A 19,791-nucleotide genomic window follows, 5' to 3' on the forward strand; every position below is an offset into this window, starting at 1 on the left:
TCAAGATCAAGGTGTTGGCAGCAATGATTCCTTCTGAGGCCACTTTCCTTGGTTTGTAGATGGCCATCTTATCCTATGTCTTCATATTGCCTTCCCTCAGTGTATGTCTGTGTCCTAATCTCCTCCTCTTATGAGAGAACCTGTTGTATTGGATTGTGGCCCACCCTACTTAGCTTATTTAACCTAATTACCTTTTAAAGACTCTATCTCCAAATATTCGCATTCAGAGGTACTGGGAGTTAGGACCTTAAAATATGAAATTTGGAGAGAATATTTAAAAAATATTTTTTAAAGATCAATTCACACATGGGCTGGCACAAGAGAAACATGAGCAAAGCACACAGAAGCTGGAGGAAGGTGTGATGAATTATCACTGGAGTTGGGGGCTTGGGAAAATTTTAAGGACATAGGTCTTGAAGAATGAGTAGAATTTCATCACGTTGAGTTGTGCCCGATCTCTCTCTCTGTATTAGTCTGTTCTCACACTGCTATAAAGACATACCTGAGACTGGGTAATTTATGGAGAAAAGAGGTTTAATTGACTCACAGTTTTGCAGGATGTACAGAAGGCATGGCTGGGGAGGCCTCATGAAACTTACAATCATGGTGGAAGGCAAAGGGGAAGCAGGCACATCTTCACATGGCGGCAGGAGAGAGAGAGCGAAGGGGAAAATGCTACACACTTTTAAACAACCAGATCTTATGAGAACTCACTCACTATCATGAGAACAGCAAGGGAGAAATCTGCCCTCATGATTCAGTCATCTCCCACCAGGCCCCGCCTCCAACACTCGGGATCACAATTCAACATGAGATTTGAATGGGGACAGAGCTAAATCATATCACTCCCCTACTTCAAAACCCCATTATAGTAGTCCCCCTGAATAAAGTCTACCTTATAATCCTTAAAAAAAAGAGAGAGAGAATTTCATCACATTGAGAAGGAAGCAAATCCAAGTTTTAGGCCTGCATTAGAAGCCTAACCACATATACCACATATACCACATATGCCACATATGCCATAGCCTATGTACCTAAATGTCCAGGACCTGGTATTCCCTGAAAGGGGCTGGTCCCCATGTTCTCTGCCTCTGACCCCTGGGCCTCTCACCATCTGTTCAGGGATCTGAACAAACACACATGCTTTACAAACAATTTGTGCAGTTAACACAATCATCACAGGGTCCTGAGGCAACATACATCCTGAGCTTACAAAGATGACAGGATTAAGAGATTAAAGTAAAGACAAGCATAGGAAATTATAAGAGTATTGATTGGGGAAGTGATAAATGTCCATGAAATCTTCACAATTTATGTTCAGAGACTGCAGTAAAGACAGGCATAAGAAATTATAAAAGTATTAATTTGGAGAACTAACAAATGTCCATGAAATCTTCACAATTTATGTTCTTCTACATGGCTTCAGCAGGTCCCTCTGTTCGGGGTCCCTGACTTCCCGCAACAAATATCTTCTTTCCTCCACGCTTCCCCCAGAAAAAGAGAAAACCGTTTCTTCTTTCCTCTTGTCACTGGACAAGCTGCCATGCTCACCTTACCTCATGCCTCCTGGAAGTAAAGTCTCAGTCCTCAGCCTTGTCATAGCATGGCCCTGGGGAGCACAGCCTATCTGACATGTGGCCAGCTCCTCTGTCATAATGGAAATGTGCTGGGATTATGGGTCCCAGCAAAACTCTGACAGCCACAGAGGACTTGTGCATGCCAGTGTGTGTCTAGTCATTTTTCTTAGCAGTTTCTTCTCAGAAATATTCAGATATTCCAAAGCTAAGAAAAGGATCACAAAATTCTCCTTAACTTAGTAAAATTATGGGATTCAGGCCATTGTTGTATACATGTTTGAAATCAGAAGTTGAAATAAACATTATTTAACCAAAGTAGCCCAAAATGCTTGTCAACTCACTCATCTTTACTGAGCAGTGTACTCAGGGGTATAGAGGAGGGGTGTGTGTGTGTGTGTGTGTGTGTGTGTGTGTGTGTGTGTATGAAATATATGGTACCAAAGAAAAGAAAACATGTTTTAAAGAAATAATGAAGGCTGTTTCCCAAAGTGTGTTCACAGGAACCCTAGTCTCACTGGTTGTTGAGAAAGTCAAGTTTCCAAGGCCAAACAAGGCATCTGAGGCTGAAATTCCAAACAAGTTTAGGAAGCCCTGCATATCCTCTGCTCTTTTGGAGAGCAAATGCGATAACAGCATATTAAAGACTCTGAAAGGTCCCATAGTAAACAAACAGATTTAATTTTATTTTGCCTGGATTCTCAAAAATGTGCTGGTACCAACCCATAGGGCACATTCTGATAAATCCTGGAGTAAGACATTTATGATGCTTAAAAGGGACTATCATAGCACATTTCTGTTCTTCACTCGGAAGCATATCCTAGAAATCCAATGCAGAGGAATTGGATGCTTTTATTATTGTAGGTTTAGAAATGAAAATGTAGGAATTGCATCCTTATGACAAATGGAAAATGAATCAGATTTGCTTGACTTCCCTAGTGATTTTTAATTTTTAGAATCTTCTATATAAACTAGTAATTATGATGATGCAGCCATCAAATGGTATGTAATCATACCCTTGAAATAATGGATAATGAGCACTTTTTTAAATGAAAAAAAAAACCTGAAGTAATTATTGGATGATGAAAATAAATTAATTCAATTCAGTACTTAAAAAATGAAAATTACTATGATCCCTGAAGCAGTATAGATGCATATGTAAGTTCTTTCATAAGGAAAATTACAACAGAAAAATGCTGAAATATTAAGAAAATGTGGCAAACACTGCCTTTTTTCCTATAAATTCAGTCTTACAGCTTAAGATGGCAAATTTCTAGAGAGGCTGGTAAGCAGATGTTTCATAGCTAGTAAAAGATGGGATCAGGATTTGAGGCAAGTCCTCTTGTCTCTGGGGCCCACATATTTAACCCTTAACTAGAGCTGCAGTGAGGAAAAATAAATTGATAGTAACATTTCTTCCCTCCTGTCCCCTTCTTCCCACTGCCCAACCACCCAGCAAAAGTAAATTTTGTGTTGTAAAAGTCTAAAATGCCATCTTAAATAGTACAGTGTTGGAGAACACTTTGCTAAATTATACTTCTATATGGCAGTTGTTCCGGAATATTTCCCATTAGCATTGCAGACGTGCTCTGTTTCACTACATTGTTAAAATTGCTTCTATCTTTTAGGCCCCATCTGTGTACCACAAAAACATTCACATCAGCAGTTGTTATTTATCAAGAAAATAGCTGCTACTGATGACCATGTACTTAATCCAGTTGATTCTGTGGAGATAAACTGCTAATACTGCCCCAGCATCATAAACTGACCATAAAATAGTTTATCTAGTGGTTGCTAATAGACATATGCTCAGGTTTTCATAATGGTCATGCAACATAGGATTGTAAAGCTTTGAGAACTTGCTTTTTTGACATGAGAGATCTTATATTTGAGATTATCAATTGGGGAATCAAATAAGAGTATAACTCCTTACCTAGTTTATAAAATTTTATTTCCTACTAATGTCACTTAAGTTTGCCTTCCTGAATGTAGGATGGGCTAAAATGTAATTTCTGAGTCTTTTCAGGAAGTCAATGCTAGAAAATTGATCAAGTACCACAGTCAATAATAAAATAACCATTAAATACACTTTTAAATTTATTTAAGTTTTTTTTTTTTTTGAGACGGAGTCTCGCACTGTCGCTCGGGCTGGATTGCAGTGGTGCGATCTCGGCTCACTACAACCTCTGCCTCCCGGGTTCAAGCAATTCTCCTGCCTCAGCCTCCCAAGTAGCTGGAATTATAGGCACCAGCCACCACGCCCAGCTAATTTTTTTTGTATTTTTAGTAGAGACGGTGTTTCACGATGTTGGCCAGGCTGGTCTCAAACTCCTGACCTCGTGATCCGCCTGCCTCAGCCCCGCAAAGTGCCGGGATTACAGGCGTGAGCCACCACGCCTGGCCAATTTATTTAAGATTTAAAGATATTTCTGGTGGAAAGTGTATTACTGATTTTGGAAATGAGGAAGGGGAAATTAGTTTTCATAAATGAGATGTCACCATACACTAATAAGACTTTGGAGCAGACTTTTAATGATAGCATCTATGTTCTGAGTCCTCCTTTGAAGGGAAATTGGTGTTTGTAGGACTTAGGACCTCTTTTTTTCTTACGGTAAGAAGAATTGGTTGTTGGGTGGAGAATCCAGTTAGGTTTTACTGTTCTTTCACCGTCCTGATAATAACTAAGGCATTGCTGAAACAGCGTTCCCATGTCATTATAAGTGCACTGTCTGACACTTGGACTTTGTTCCATTTTCCAGGGTGATGCGTGTGTACTTGTGTCAAGTTATTGCCCATATTAAGTGTGGCAAAGAATGATAGGGTACCTTTTTGATAAACAGTCTTCAAGTAGGCTAGCTCTATAAATGGGCCACCTGAAGGAGGCCATTCTCTGCTGCCAAAACCCTCCCAGTTCTCAGAACTAAGGCTTCCAAATGATGGCACCCTCTCCCAGCCTTTTTCTCATCCTTGTGTGTATTCAGCTCCTTCCAGAGCCTGTTCACTTGCTGTTTCCCCCAACAATGTGACCAGTGCAGCAAATAATTTATATAGTAGATGTCACCATTCACAACAGTGAGGTGACACAGAGGACCTCATCAACCCTCTTAGCTGACGTGCAGAGATTACCTGTTGGTTAAATAGATGAGTAACCTGTTTAGAAAACTATAATTTAATATCTTTATTTAGAGTTAACTCAAATTAAACTTCAACTGAACATTATTAAATTCCCCTGACTTTATGGCAGTGATGAACTTTTTTTCTAATCAATAAATTCTAACATAATCTACAATTCTCTGCTTATCTCGAAAGCTAAATCTGTGGACCCAGGCTGGGATAATGATGTCATAATTGATATTCTTATAATGTTGCTATTGTATTTTGGAATGTTTCTGATTAGAAATTTTGGGGTTATAGTCAAGGAGCAGTGTTGGGTAAAAAAAGCAACTGTAAAAAAAATTATTTTTAAAAAGATAGAAATTTGGGGGTTTGATATTTAGTGGGGAAAAGGCAACTGATATAAAAGGAAAAAATAATTTTACCTTGGAAATAAGTGGAATATAATATAAATAGCCATTTGACCACTTACTGTGATGCTGCCAAACTAGAAATCAGGCACTGTTTACATATTTTCAGCCTTGGACAGTCGTAGAGAAAGTTTTCAATTAATACAGCAGTCATTGCCAAAGATCAGTTATAGAATAGTGCAATAATGATACCTGTGGTGCCTTACAGAATGTTTTTACATTTAAATTTTAAAAAATCAACCTTTGTAAGGACATTCTTTTAACACATGCCTAGTGCTCTTGGATGATCTTCAGAAACTACTGATTATAGTTCTTAAATATTATTCATTGGAGATTTTATTGATAAGAACCTAAAGTAGGTGTCATGAAAATCACTGGCCTATATTCACTTCTGAATAAATAACCAATGAAAAGATACAAACATTCTGAAATCAAACCCTCTATTTTTTGTAAACCATTTTTAAATGATATCTCAATTGTATTACATGATGTGTTAGGCCATTCTTGCATTGTTATAAAGAAATTCCTGAAACTGGGTAATTTATGAAGAAAAGAGGTGGCCGGGCATGGTGGCTCATGCCTGTAATCCCAGCACTTTGGGAGGCTGAAGTGGGCAGATTAATTGAGGTCAGGAGTTGGAGATCGGCCTGGCCAACACAGTGATACCCCGTCTCTACTAAAAATATAAAAATTAGCCAGGGGTGGTGGCCCACGCCTGTAATCCCAGCTACTCAGGAGGCTGAGGCATGAGAATTGCTTGAACCCGGGAGGTGGAGGTTACAGTGAGCCAAGATCGCGCCACTGCACTCCAACCTGGGCGACAGAGTGAGACCCTCTCGCAAAGTAAAAAAAAAAAAAATTTAATTGGTCCACAGTTCTACAGACTGTACAGGAAGCATGGCGCCAGCATCTGTTTGCCTTCTGGGGAGGCTTCAGAGAGCTCTACAGGGCTGAAAGGCAAAGTAGGAGCAGGCATGACACATGGCAAAAGCAGGAGCAAGGTCGGGGGAGGTGCCACACTTTTTTTTTTTTTTTTTTTTTGAGACAGAGTCTCCCTCTGTCACCCAGGCTGGAGTACAGTGGCATGATCTCTGCTCACTACAGCCTTCGCCTCCCAGGTTTGAGTGATTCTCCTGCCTCAGCCTCCTGAGTAGCTGGGACTACAGGCACACGCCACCACACCTGGCTAATTTTGTAAGTTCCACACTTTTAAGCAACCAGATCTCACAATAACTCATTCAATATCACGAGGACAGCACCAGGCCATGAGGGATCCGCCCCCATGATCCAGTCACCTCCCACCAAGCCCCACTTCCAACATTGGGGATTACAATTCAACATGAGATGTAGAGGGAACAACATCCAAACTATATCACACACTTTCCTGTCTTTCAAATAATACACAGTAAAAATAATTTAACTCTTTTTTGTACCTAGCACAATGCGTATGTATAGCAGGCATCTGATATGTTTTAAATATCCTTTCCTTTAAATGTGATCTGACACAACGTCGTTTCAGGGGACCACTGATGTTGGAGGCTCTGTTTGCACCTGTACTAATGTTCCCAGATGATTGTCTTTTTGTAATTGGTTATTATTCTGTCTGCGTCCTCAGCACCTTATGCCGCTGCTTAGGATGAAATAGTTTGAACCACTTCTTCTCTTCAAATTTTCTTTTTCTTTTTTTTTTTTATTTTTTAGAGATGGGGTCTCATATTGCCCAGGGTGGTTTTGAACTCCTGGGCTCAAATGATCCTCCCACCTCAGCCTCCCGAGTAACTGAGATTACAGGCGTGAGCCACCACATCTGGCAGCACTTCAAATTTTCTGTGACATCTCAGTAAGGCCAGAATTGAAGATCACAGAGGAAATGAGACGTCTGGCTTGTTTCCTCACTGACCTCATTTGTGTGCCTGGATTCCTCTATGGATCTGGCCAGCAGAGCTCTGGGGCCTCTGATAGTCAGCTGGGTGGAAGGTGGGGGAGTTGTATCTGTGCGTTTTGTGCAGGTGTTTTTCACTTCTTGTTGCGAGCCTCTATCTTTACTTCTCTCTCAAAACTTCTTACTCCCTGTTCAAAGATATGTTTCCTGTGATGTAGGCATGCTATTTTATCTCTTCGTGTCTCAGGTTCCTCATCTGTAAAATGGGCATGTTAATAGTGTCAATGTAATAGGATTGTTGTGAGGATTGACTGAGTTAATATTTATAAAGTTCTTAGAGCCGTGGTACATAGTAAGGGTTAAAACATGTTTTTAGGCCAGGCCCAGTGGTTCACGCCTGTAATCACAGCACTTTGGGAGGCCAAGGCGGACGGATCATTTGAGGTCAGGAGTTCAAAACCAGCCTGGCCAACATGGTGAAGCACCGTCTCTACTAAACACACACACACACACACACACACACACACAAAGTTAGCCAGGCGTGGTGGCAGGCGCCTGTGATCCCAGCTACTCGGGAGGCTGAGACAGGAGAATCACTTGAACCCGGGAGGCAGAGGTTGCAGGGAGCCAAGATCGTGCCATTGCACTCCAGCTTGGGCGATAAGAGTGAAACTCCATCTCAAAAAAAAAAAAAAAAAAGTTTTTAAAAATAGTTGTCAGACCACTAGAAAGGTGGCTCTTTAAGCTTCTTAAAGAAAAACGAAACATCCAGGAAGATGCTGCTTCTGGTAGAGGGTGACTTACACTTTCTTTTCCAAGGAAAGAGTGGAATAACATGAAGGAATTTGTATCCAAAGGCGGAGGACTGAAAGGTATTACCTAAAATACCTCCAACAAATGTTGGCAGCAAGCCTAGTTCCTGACTAATGAAGTAATATATGGGAAGATGTTCATAGCAACTCCTTTGGGGCTCTTCATAGTAGATTTTAAAAAGAGACAAGGGAAATAAACTGGAAATATATGGGGATAGAGGGAATTAGGGGGCAAAGCTTATGTCAGGAGTTGGCAGTTATCTTCTGTATCTAATAAAGGCCAAAACAGAATGACCCTCAAACTGGAGATATGTATAGATAGAGATAAAAATATTAAAAAAAAAACAAAACTATCTGACTTAAGTGTTTTTCTCAGCCTCTTCAGTGGAGAAGGGCATTTGGCTATCTGCTTTGTTAAAGAAAGCAGGCACTGCCTTATTGCATGTGCAAAGAGGTGCTGTGCTGGCCACCATGAAGCTTGAAATCTTTTCTTTTTCTTTTTTATTTTATTTATTTATTTATTTTTTGAGACAGGGTCTCACTCTGTTGCTCAGACTGGAGTGCGGTGGTGTGATCACAGCTCACTCAGCCTCAACTTCCCAGGCTCAATCAATCCTCCAGCCTCAGCTTCCTAAGTAGCCAAGACTAAAGGCGTGCACCACCAACCCGACTAATTTTCTTATATTTTATAGAGATGGGATCTCACTGTGTTGCCCAGGCTGGTCTCAAACTCCTGGGCTCAAATGCTCCTCCCACCTCAGCCTCCCAAAGTGTTGGGATTACAGGCATGAGCCACCATGCCCTGGCCACTTGGAACCTCTTCTTGTTCTCCCCAGATGTTTCTTGGGAGCCTGGGGGACAGACGATTCACCATGCCTTTGGCTCGTGCTCTGCCTCCCTGTGCATGGATCGCGCTGGGGCTGGCGCCGACATTCCTGGCACAGGGCTTGGTCGCTCATTCAGGCTGATGGCCGCCCTTTGCCCTGTCTCCTTTGGCCGGAGGCAGCTGGGTTATAATTTGCTCCTTAGGCTTGGAAGTGCAGCCCTGCCACACTGCAGCATGTGTTTGTTTTACAATCCACAGACAAGAAGAAGGGAGGCAAATTCCAGCCTTTTAAAAAGTTGTTTGGCAAAAGGAAAAAGAAAGACCCTTCGTTGTTCCGGGTGCCGTCGTTGGGGAAGAAGAGTTACTCTCACCAGAGTGTCAGCAATGGGACCTTCTCTTCGGATGAGGAGACCCTGGAAGACAATCTAAGGTAATAACTTGCACTTTCCTTTCAGATCTTTGGTGGAGTCCCAGGGTGGGGAATGGGATCCCAAAGGAAGTAGGTGCTGTTTTTGGTTCCAGGAGACAAGAACAGAATCCCAAACGGGGCAGGGTGTTGGGATCACTCCTGTAATCCCAACGCTTTGGGAGGCCGAGGCGGGCAGATCACTTGAGGTCAGGAGTTCAAGACCAGCCTAGGCGACATGGGGAAACCCCGTTTCTACTAAAAAAGTACAAAAAAATTAGCCAGGTATGGTGGTGTACACCTGTAATCCCAGGTACTGAGGAGGATGAGGCACAAGAATCACTTGCTTGAACCCAGGAGGTGGAGGTTGCAGTGAGCTGAGATCATGCCACTGCACTCCAGCCTGGGTGACAGAGTGAGACTCTGCCTCAAAAAAAAAAAAAAAAGGATCACAAATGGGTTCCATCTCTGGGAACGTGTAAGACTTGGTGTATTCTGCATGGAGAAGTCACCTTGGGGAGTTATCAAATGAGTCTGACCTCATTTTCTGGGAGTGCACAGGAATTGGGCATTCATTTCGCTGCTCTTGTTTGTGGAAGGAGGCAACATTTCACTGGCTTGGCTCACCAGGGTTCCTCAGATTGAAGAAGACTGTGTTTCCTTATGCCATTGCTTTACAAATAGAAAGGTTGTCATGGGCTAGACTTTACACCCTTGTTGAGGATGCAGGTTGCTCAGGCACAGGTGGTCACCCTTCATACCCCTGGCCATCTCTAGCAACTTCTGGAGCCTGTTTATGATGGAGCTTTTGCCTGCCTGCCTGCCTGCCTTCCTTCCTTTCTTCCTTCCTTCCTTCCTTCCTTCCTCCCTCCCTACGTCCCTCCCTCCCTCCCTCGTTTCTTCCTTCCCTCCCTCCTTTCTTCCCTCTCTCTCCCCCACTTCTCCCTTTCTTCCCTTCCTTCCTTCCTTCTTTCTTTCCCCGCCTCTTAGAACACAGGCACTAAATCTGGGTGTGACAGTGTCAGGAACTCAGAAAAGTAGGGTCAGGAAGTACTTTCTTACCTGAGTGCTTGGAATTGAAGTCAGTATCAGAGCTGGTTAAACTCTGATACTGACAGCTTAGAAACCAGCTCCTCTGAGAAACCTTTTCCGACAACCCCATCTGATTTGTTTGCCCTTGCCTGTGTTCTTGTAGCATTGTGTGCCTGGTTTCAGCAGAGAACTTGTCACTTTCTATGGAAATTATTGATTTGCTTCTGTCTTCTTCACTTGACTGTCAGTTTCATGAAGTCAGGGACTAGGTTTCATTCAGCCTTGTATTACGTGCTCAAAAAAATGTTTTCCATGAATGCCTGACACTGCATAAGCTAAGCGGAAGGAATAGATGGTATCATATGTGATATTCTCACCGTGCTTCAAGGACAGAGACAAAAATATCCTCTGTGGTGTGTGTCAGTAAGTAAATTCTAATGAACACTGCTGTTGTGTCTAAATTACAAAACCCTCAGACCAGTGGTACACATTAATTTTACAGCAAATATTCACCAACAGCATTTGTTAGTCCTGATACTGACTCTTTTCCTTGACAGCCCTGTGTTTATTTTCTGTTGTCTTTACTCTGTAGGGTAAGAAAATGATTTAATTTGACGCAGGGAAAGATGTAACTGAAAGGAGAGCACAGCTAGTGCTAACTCACTCAGCTGTTGGAATGTTGTCCCAGTGGATAGTCAAGGAGTGTGCAGTTTGAATCCATTTTGATTTTACTTCAGGTTTTCAATTGTAAAATAAGAGCGTGAACTTTTTGGCCTCACGGTATCAGGATGAGGAACAGATAGTAAAATGAGAGTAAGTGGCAGTTTAATACAAAATGAGGTCAAGTCTGGAAAGTTCTCCCTTAGAGGGACAGTTCTATGGAAACACAACCCATCCTTTTTGTAGTATAGTAGGTATAGCATAGTTTTGCCAAGTCTGATTTCATATTGAGCCATGTTGGACTCTTACAGGAATGTGGACCCTGGAGGTTCTCTTCCCATTTAAGTCTTATATTCTGTTAACTTCTTGGGGTTTTCCTTAAGGTTTCAGGTTTTACAAAGCCTTGGGAAATTCCACTTTGGATCAAATAGCTGCATTTCTAATAATGTCACCTGTCCTCGTTATTGACTCTTGTCCACAAACCTGCATTTATGAGACGTGTACTATATTTTAATTAAACCTTTTTATAATAAACACATCTCTTAAGTAAGGATATAAAAGGATAAGCTTTGGACTATTAATTTTTAAAATGTCACTTTAAATATTTAAAAAATTAGTGGGTATATGCCCAGAGGAGTATAAAGCATTTTACCATAAAGCCACACGCATGCAAATGTTCATTGCAGCACTGTTCACAATAGCAAAGACATAGAGTCAACCTAAATACCCATCAGTGACAGATTGGATAAAGAAATGTAGTGCATATGCACCATGGAATACTTTGCAGCCACAAAAAAGAACAAGATCATGTGTTTTGCAGGAACATGGATGGAGCTGGAGGCTATTATTCTTAGCAAACTAATGCAGGAACAGAAAACCAAATACTGCATGTTCTCACTTATAAGTGGGAGCTAAATGATGAGAACTCATGACACAAAGACGGTAACAACAGACACTGGAATCTACTTGAGTGTGGAGGGTGAGTGGGGGGAAAGGAGCAGAAAAGATAATTTACTGGGCTTAATACCTGGGTGATGAAATAATCTGTACAGCAAACCCCTGTGACTTGAGTTTACCTACGTAACAAACCTTCACGTGTACCCCTGAACGTAAAATAAAAGTTAAAAAAAAATTAGGATAGAAACACAGCAAGGTGTGGCAGCAAGTGCCTTTAATCCCTGCTGCTCGGGAGGCTGAGGCGGGAAGATCATTTGAGCCAGGAGTTCAAGGCTATAGTGCGCTATGATCATGTCTATGAATAGCTACTGCACTCTAGCCTGGACAACACAGAAAAAAAAAGTTAGAAGCACAGGAAAATAGAAGTAATTAAAAAATACATATTTCTCTTTTCTAGGGAATTGACAATTGCAAAGTAATTTCACCTACAAAGTAAATACTACATATGTTGATTATGGTATAACTGAGCTTCTAATTATTTGCCTTATTTACAGATGGAGAAAATGAAAAATGTTCTTTTCAGAAATTCTTATTTTTAGTTCATGGTTCAATTAACAGACTGTTACTTTACATTGTGTAATGATTCAAAAAATTTTCTGTACATTTTATTTGCTATCTCCAAAATGGACAGTTCTCACAAAAGCACAAAACTCAAAGCTCCATTAACGTGATTTTGGGTAGAGGTTACAAGAAGGTAGATTTCAGCCCAATGTGAGGGAGAATTTCCTAATTAGAACTGCCTGAAAATGGGAGGCTTGGCATGTGCCCACAAAGGTTGAGGCCAGTGAAGGTGGGATTTCGGCACTGGGTGGGAATTGAAGGGAGCTGAACTTTAACATCCTGTCAAACTCCCAAGAATCTGAAATTCTAGAAATGTTCCCATGACTGAGAATAGCTCCTTATTGATCTGCTCCTTCTGCCTGAAAATTTCCATTTCCTTTGGGTTTTTAAAGCATTCTTTTCTTTCTCTAGGTTAGAAGCCTTTATCTCTCCTAGGCTGCTGCTTGTAAATTATACATTCCTTGGGAAAAGCAAAGCAATAAAACATGATCCATTTTTAAGAATCTAATGTGATTTCTTTTCTTAATTAAACACAACTAATATTATGTTCCCAAAGGCGTGTTAAAACAGTTGTTAAATTTTAAAAGAGGGAGAGGGTCATCTTGGTAAATAGGTTTGGGGAATTCTGAACAAAAACAAATTAAATAGGATTCTTTATGTGGGACTCGACAGAACTTTTACTATGCGAATGTGTCCTGTGAATCCCTAGGAAGAAGGATGTAGTATGCAGTATTTCAATATTCCTTTGACCGTAGACCCTTTTTCCACTGAGAATATCCAATGGCATGTATTAAAGGTACCACTAATTGAAGTTATTACAGTGTATTCACTTTTGCATAGGTGAACTCATATAATATTTACCACAACTATTTAAGATTGATATTATTATCAACAGTTCAAAGATGAGAAAACTAAGGCTAGCAGGTAATTTGCCTAAGGTCATATAGCTTATAAATCCCTGAGCCACTATTCAAGCAATAAAGAGTGCATTCTTAAACATCCACTACTGTGCCTCTCAAGGAGGCTGCAGCCTCACTAGGGAGCTACTCATATGGCCCTGAATCATCATACTGGTCCTGAGTCACTAGGCTCAGATGTCTGCCTGCCTCCAGCTGCCTGATTGAGGCTCTGATACTTACTGGGACTCTACTTGTCCTGCTTCCAGTTTCTACTGAACACCCAGTGTTTGTTACATCATGCATAAGTACAACACTTTATATTAAGTGCCAGATGTAAGCACAGTGAGATGTGAAGGAGTTCTGGAGAATATGAGCTCACTTGGACTGGAACAGTCGGGAAAGGGTTCAGGAATGAGGGGGCCTTGAGCTGATTCCAAATGATGGGCAGGACATGGAGTAGCTGAGAGGGAAGGCATGAACCTGTCAGATAATGGCATAAGCAGAAATTTTCATGGAAGAAGGAAGATGACAAATAGAATAGGAGGGAACTTTCCAACTCTGTGAGGCCAGTGTTATCCTCATATTAAAATCAGGCAAAGATATCACAAGAAAAAAACTCCACAGACCAATATCCTTTATGACAATAGACACAAAAATCCTTAAGAAAAAACTAGTAGCCTGAATCCAACAACATGTAAGAAGGCTTAAGTAACATGACCAAATGGGATTTATCCCAGGAGTGCAAGGTTGGTTTAACATAAAAAAGCCAATCAATGTAATATACCATATTAATAAAATAAAGGATAAAAACCACATGATCATCTCAATAAATGCAGAAAAACTATTTGACAAGATCCAACATCCTTTCATGATTTATAAAAAAAAAAAAATAGACAACACTGGAAATAGAAGGAAACTCCTTCAACTTGATAAAGAGCATCTGAAAAATCCACAGCTAATATCATATTTAATGATGAAAAATGAATGTGATCCCCTTAAGATCAGGAACAAAACAAGGGTTTCTTATCTCATTCCTTCTATTCAACACTGTATTCTACAGTACTATACTGTTGGCTATAGCTGGGACATTTAGAAAAGAAAAAGAAATAAGAGGCATTAATCTTAGGAAGAAGTAAAACTGTACTTGCAGATGCCATGATTGTATATATAGAAAGTCCTAAGGAATACACACACAGAAAGCTATTAGACTAATAAACAAGATTGAGCAAAGTTATAGGATACAAGATTGGAGTTTTTGTATATCAATTGTATTTCTGTACTCTAGCAATTTATAATCTAAAGATGACCCTAGGAAAACAATTCCATTTACATAGCATCAAAAAGAATAAACGACTTAGGAATAAGTTTAACCAAGAAGTGCAAGACTTGTACACCAAAAATGACAAAATATCATTGAAAGAAATTAAAGAAGATTGAAATGATGGAAAGACATCTCATGTTCATCTATTGGAAAACATAATATTGTTAAGATGACAGTACTCCCCAGATTGAGCTACAGATTCAATGTGGTCCCCATCAAAATCCTAGCTGTCTTTTTTCCCCCAGAAATTAGAAGTGGATCCTAAAATTCATATGGAATTGCAGGGGACCCAGAATAGCCAAAACATTATTGAAAAAGGAGAACAAAGATGGAAGACTCACACTTTCCATTTAAAACACTTACTACAAAGCTGCAGTAATCTAAACAGTGAAGTACTGGTATAAGGATAGATATAAAGATAATGGAATTGAATTGAGAGTTCAGAAATAAACTCTTACGTTTGTGGTCAATTGATTTTCAATAAGAGTGCTAAGACAATTCAATGGGCAAAGAAGAGTTTTTCAACAAATATTTCTGGGACAATTGGATAGCCACATGCAAAAGAATGAAATTGGACCCTTTTTTACATCATATACAAAAATTAACTCAAAATGGATCACAGACCTAAATGTAAGAATTAAAATTATAAAACTCTTAAAAGAAAAAGTAAATTTCCATGACCTTGAATTAGGCAGTGGTTTCTTAGGTACCAAAAGCACAAGTGACAAAAGGAAAAACAGAAAAGTTGGACTACATCAAAATTAAATTTTGTGTTACAAATGATATCATCAAGAAAGTTATAAAACAATCCACAGAATGGATGGAAATATTTGTAAGTCATATTTGGAATAAGTAAAAATAAAAAACAAAACTCCCACAACTCAATAATAAAATGACCCCCTCCCCAAATTTTTTTTTATTGGGCAAAGGATTCTAATAGACATCGCTCCACAAAAGATATAAAAATATCAATTAACACATAAACCATACTTGCTCAACATCATTAGCCATCAGGGAAGTACAAATCAAAACCACAAATGAGATATTATTTCACACCCATTAGGAAGGCTACAGGCAAAAAAGATAGACAGTAACAAGTGTTGATGAAGATATATAGGGATTGGAACCCTCACACATTGCTGGTGGGAATATAAAATATTAATGGTTTAGGGTAATGTTTAGTTCTGATCCCATACCTTCACTTTATAAATGGGGAAACAGGCTCAAAGAGGTGACAGTGCTATTAGTGTTAGAAATGTGACTACACCCACTGTCCTGCACCCAATGTCCGACAATCCCCAGTGAGATGCACCTGGTACCTCAGATGGAAATGCAGAAATCATTCATCTTCTGCGTCGCTCATGCCGGGAGCTGTAGACTGGAGCTGTTCCTATTCGGCCATCTTGGGTAAACTAAAGAGCTTCTGCACAGCAAAAGAAACTACCATCGGAGTGAACAGGCAACCTACAACATGGGAGAAAATTTTTGCAATCTGCTTATCTGACAAAGGGCTGATATCCAGAATCTACAATGAACTCAAACAAATTTACAAGAAAAAAACAACCCCATCAACAAGTGGGCGAAGGATATGAACAGACACTTCTCAAAAGAAGACATTTATGCAGCCGAAAGACACATGAAAAAATGCTCATCATCACTGGCCATCAGAGAAATGCAAATCAAAACCACAATGAGATACCATCTCACACCAGTTAGAATGGCGATCATTAAAAAGTCAGGAAACAACAGGTGCTGGAGAGGATGTGGAGAAATAGGAACACTTGTACACTGTTGGTGGGACTGTAAACTAGTTCAACCATTGTGGAAGTCAGTGTGGCGATTCCTCAGGGATTTAGAACTAGAATACCATTTGACCCAGCCATCCCATTACTGGGTATATACCCAAAGGACTATAAATCATGCGGCTCTAAAGACACATGCACACGTATGTTTATTGCGGCACTATTCCCAATAGCAAAGACTTGGAACCAAGCCAAATGTCCAACAATGATAGACTGGATTAAGAAAATGTGGCACATATACACCATGGAATACTATGCAGCCATAAAAAATGATGAGTTCATGTCCTTTGTAGGGACATGGATGAAGCTGGAAACCATCATTCTCAGCAAACTATCGCAAGGACAAAAAACCAAACACCGCATGTTCTCACTCATAGGTGGGAATTGAACAGTGAGAACACATGGACACAGGAAGGGGAACATCACACACTGGGGCCTGTTGTGGGGTGGGGGGAGGGGGGAGGGATAGCATTAGGACATATACCTAATGTTAAATGACGAGTTAATGGGTGCAGCACACCAACATGGCACATGTATACACATGTAACAAACGTGCACGTTGTGCACATGTACCCTAAAACTTAAAGTATAATAAAAAGAAAAAAAAAAAGAAAAGAAATGTGACTACACTCCAAGCCTGCCCATTTTGCACATGGTAGTGCTTGTTTCTTGAATAGCCCCATCCCCCATCTCCACCTCCTTCCTTTGTCTAATTCCTCTCCATCCTTGAGTTTTCTGCACAAATGTGCCTTCCTTAGGAGAGCAAGCTTTCTTTGATTCCCTCAGCCTAGATCAGGCCCCTTCCCCTGACATTGTTCTCACAACTTCCTTGACCTTTCCCTAAAAGTAAGCTTTGTGACTTGCCATTCGTTGTATTTCCCGCCTCTAACGCTGGGCCCGGCACATAGCAGGTATTCAGTAAGCATTTATTCAATGAATGAATGCATTGATTACTGCTCTTCCCCATACTGACTTTTCCCACTGGACAAGTCAATATTCATCTAATTTGGCCTCCAGTTTCCCACCTTGGTAAAGAGTATCACTGTCCCTCAGACCTGCTGGAAAAGGAAGAATCCACAGTTGGTGCCATGAGACTTCATGTTACCAATGAAGTTATACTGAAGTGCAGGCTCCCTGCTTACCGTTGTTTGCATTGATTCACCTGACCTTGCTGCGTTTCAGAGGATGAAGTCAGAAAGGACCTGTTTTACTTGACTGTTTATCCTCTATCCTTAGGAAGCTGGGATGTGCTGAAATTGAATAGGGAATGGTGAAGAGGTGCAAAACCCATTAAATAAAAATTAGGTACTAAGCAGGAAAATCAACAGAGCTGAGCTGAATATGTCTAGAGAAAAAGAAGGTTGATGAATCAGTTATAGCAGGGGTCCCCAACCCCCAGGTGGTGAACCAGTACCGGTGTGTGGCCTGTTAGGAACCAGGCCGCACAGCAGGGGGTAAGTGGCAGGCAAGGGAGCATTACTGCCTGAGCTCCACCTCCTATCAGATCAGCAGCTGCATTAGATTCTCATGGGAGCATGAACCCTATTGTGAACTGTGCATGCGAGGGATCTAGGTGGCGTGCTTTTTCTGAGAATCTAATGCCTGATAATCTGAGGTGGAACAGTTTCATCCTGAAACCATCTTCCCAGCCCCGTCCATGAAAAAATTATCTTCCACAAAACCGGTTCCTGGTGCTGAAAAGGTTGGGGACTGCTGAGGTATAGCGATTCTTAGAGATACAATATGTGGTAAATGCAGCAGAACAGGAGCTAGGGACCTCTCAGGAAGCCAGGTGTCTCACTCGAGAGCTGTGTGACCCTCACCTAGCTAGCGCCTTCGTCTCCCAGGATTATTAGGAGGACAAAAATGCATATGACATTGCGCTATCTGCAATAAAGCACTTTAAAAAGCAGGTTAATATTAGTATTGAGATAAAGAGGATATTGATGACTACTATTTCCAGAGCATGAACCAGAGGAAAATTGATTCAAATGACAGCTACAGAGGTTTATGGAAAGATCTTTCTCCACATGGGGAAACGTAGGAGTGGAATAAATAGCATGGAAGCCTGTGAAGTGGGCTTTAGAGGCAAGTTAGAAGATCGTTTGTCTTAGGTGGTGTCTTAGGACTGAGCTTACAGACCGGAGTAGATGACCCTCTGACTTCAATTCTAAGATTCTCCATTTGAGATTCCAAACTTTCCTCCTCTTCCTTGAATTTGTATGACGTACCCTGTTTCTTTTGTAATTAACAGGTAATTTGGTACACTATAGCCTATCAAATAGCGTATATTTTGATAGAATACGGAAGTTCAGGATGAGCCTCTAAGTCAGATAATCTGACTCCAGTCTCTTCCAGCAACTCTAGTTTGTTTGATGAGGATATTTAATTGCTCTTTAACATTTCATTTGAATGAGACTCACGGATCTGTTTAGGAAGAAAACTGCTGATCAATTGCAATTGCCCCTGTTGTCATGGAAACAAGCTGAAATGGGACTATAATTATATTTCCTTATTCCTGAAGTGAATCCCTAATCATTGCCATAGTAATTACCCAATATCTATGGTCCCAAATTACATGATTCTTGTCCAAAAAAGACAAAGGATAAGGAATAGGAGGGCTGGCCTGAGGCATGCATTCACTGTGCAGCTGCAGAAAGCCTTCTCCTTTTTTGGATGGGAAGAATTTCCCTCTGTAGGCTCACACTCCACAGTTGGATGATGTCAGCAGGTCTTAGATTGTGCCCAGTGCTTAGAAGAGTGGCTAGAAAGCTGTATCAGGTAGGATGATTGCAGTTTTAACAGAAATCAGAACTACTAGCATCTTCAACAGGAATGAAGTATATTGTCTGATGGACCAGAAAGTCTGGAAGACTTTCCAAGTTCCAAGGTTGGTTGACGAAATGGCCCAGCAACATCACCAGGATCCAATCTGAGTCCCTTTTTCTCTGGCATCCTCAGGGAGTGGCCTTTTGTCCTCAGGTTTGTTCCCTCATAGTCATCACAAGATGGCTGTCACAGTTCCAGGTGTCATAGGCGGATGACAAAGACCACAGACAGAAAGAAGGCAGTCCCTGTCTTGTATGATTGTGAATGAGGAGAACTTTCTCAGAAAGGCCTCTGCCTACCAAACTGCCTCTTGCTTTTCATTGTTCCTTTCGCATAGATGCTATCTTTCGCAGATAGTGGCACCAGACGACAGAGCTTAAAATAGAGATAGCTCTTCCTGACGCCTCTCCGCTCTCCTTAGCTCTAAGTGCCTAGTGTGTGAGAGATGGAGTAGTGTGGCTGCAGGGCTAACTTAGTTTGTTTTGCTTTCCTTTGCAACCTCTCTCTTTGCTCTGACCTTCAAGTGTGCTGAGCTCCAGGTCACAGACCCAGCATACACCTCTGTCTCATCTCTCCCATTCCTCCAGATAGGTATGAGCATAGAGCACTGGGCCTGGGTTTCAGCATCCCAGGACCATGGGGTGTGACAACCTTTGCTCTCAGGCAGCAGCACATGCCACCAAGAAAGAAGGGCAGCCTCCTGGGG

At 41.0% G+C, this 19,791-nt stretch overlaps 1 protein-coding gene across 9 annotated transcripts in view; it reads left to right on the top strand.

Moving 5' to 3' along the window:
- The window catches only part of CRACD (capping protein inhibiting regulator of actin dynamics), a 281,512-nt gene that overhangs the window by 214,347 nt on the left and 47,374 nt on the right, over window positions 1-19,791 (top strand). For all 9 annotated transcript variants that reach the window (XM_047415994.1, NM_001393381.1, NM_001393384.1 and 6 more), the window contains one exon: window positions 8,877-9,048. In XM_047415994.1, the coding sequence (XP_047271950.1) occupies window positions 8,877-9,048 (172 nt within the window). The remainder of the gene's footprint in view (window positions 1-8,876; window positions 9,049-19,791) is intronic.

This window comes from Homo sapiens, chromosome 4 (genome assembly GCF_000001405.40).
Source record: "Homo sapiens chromosome 4, GRCh38.p14 Primary Assembly".
Classification (NCBI taxonomy): Eukaryota; Metazoa; Chordata; class Mammalia; order Primates; family Hominidae; genus Homo; species Homo sapiens.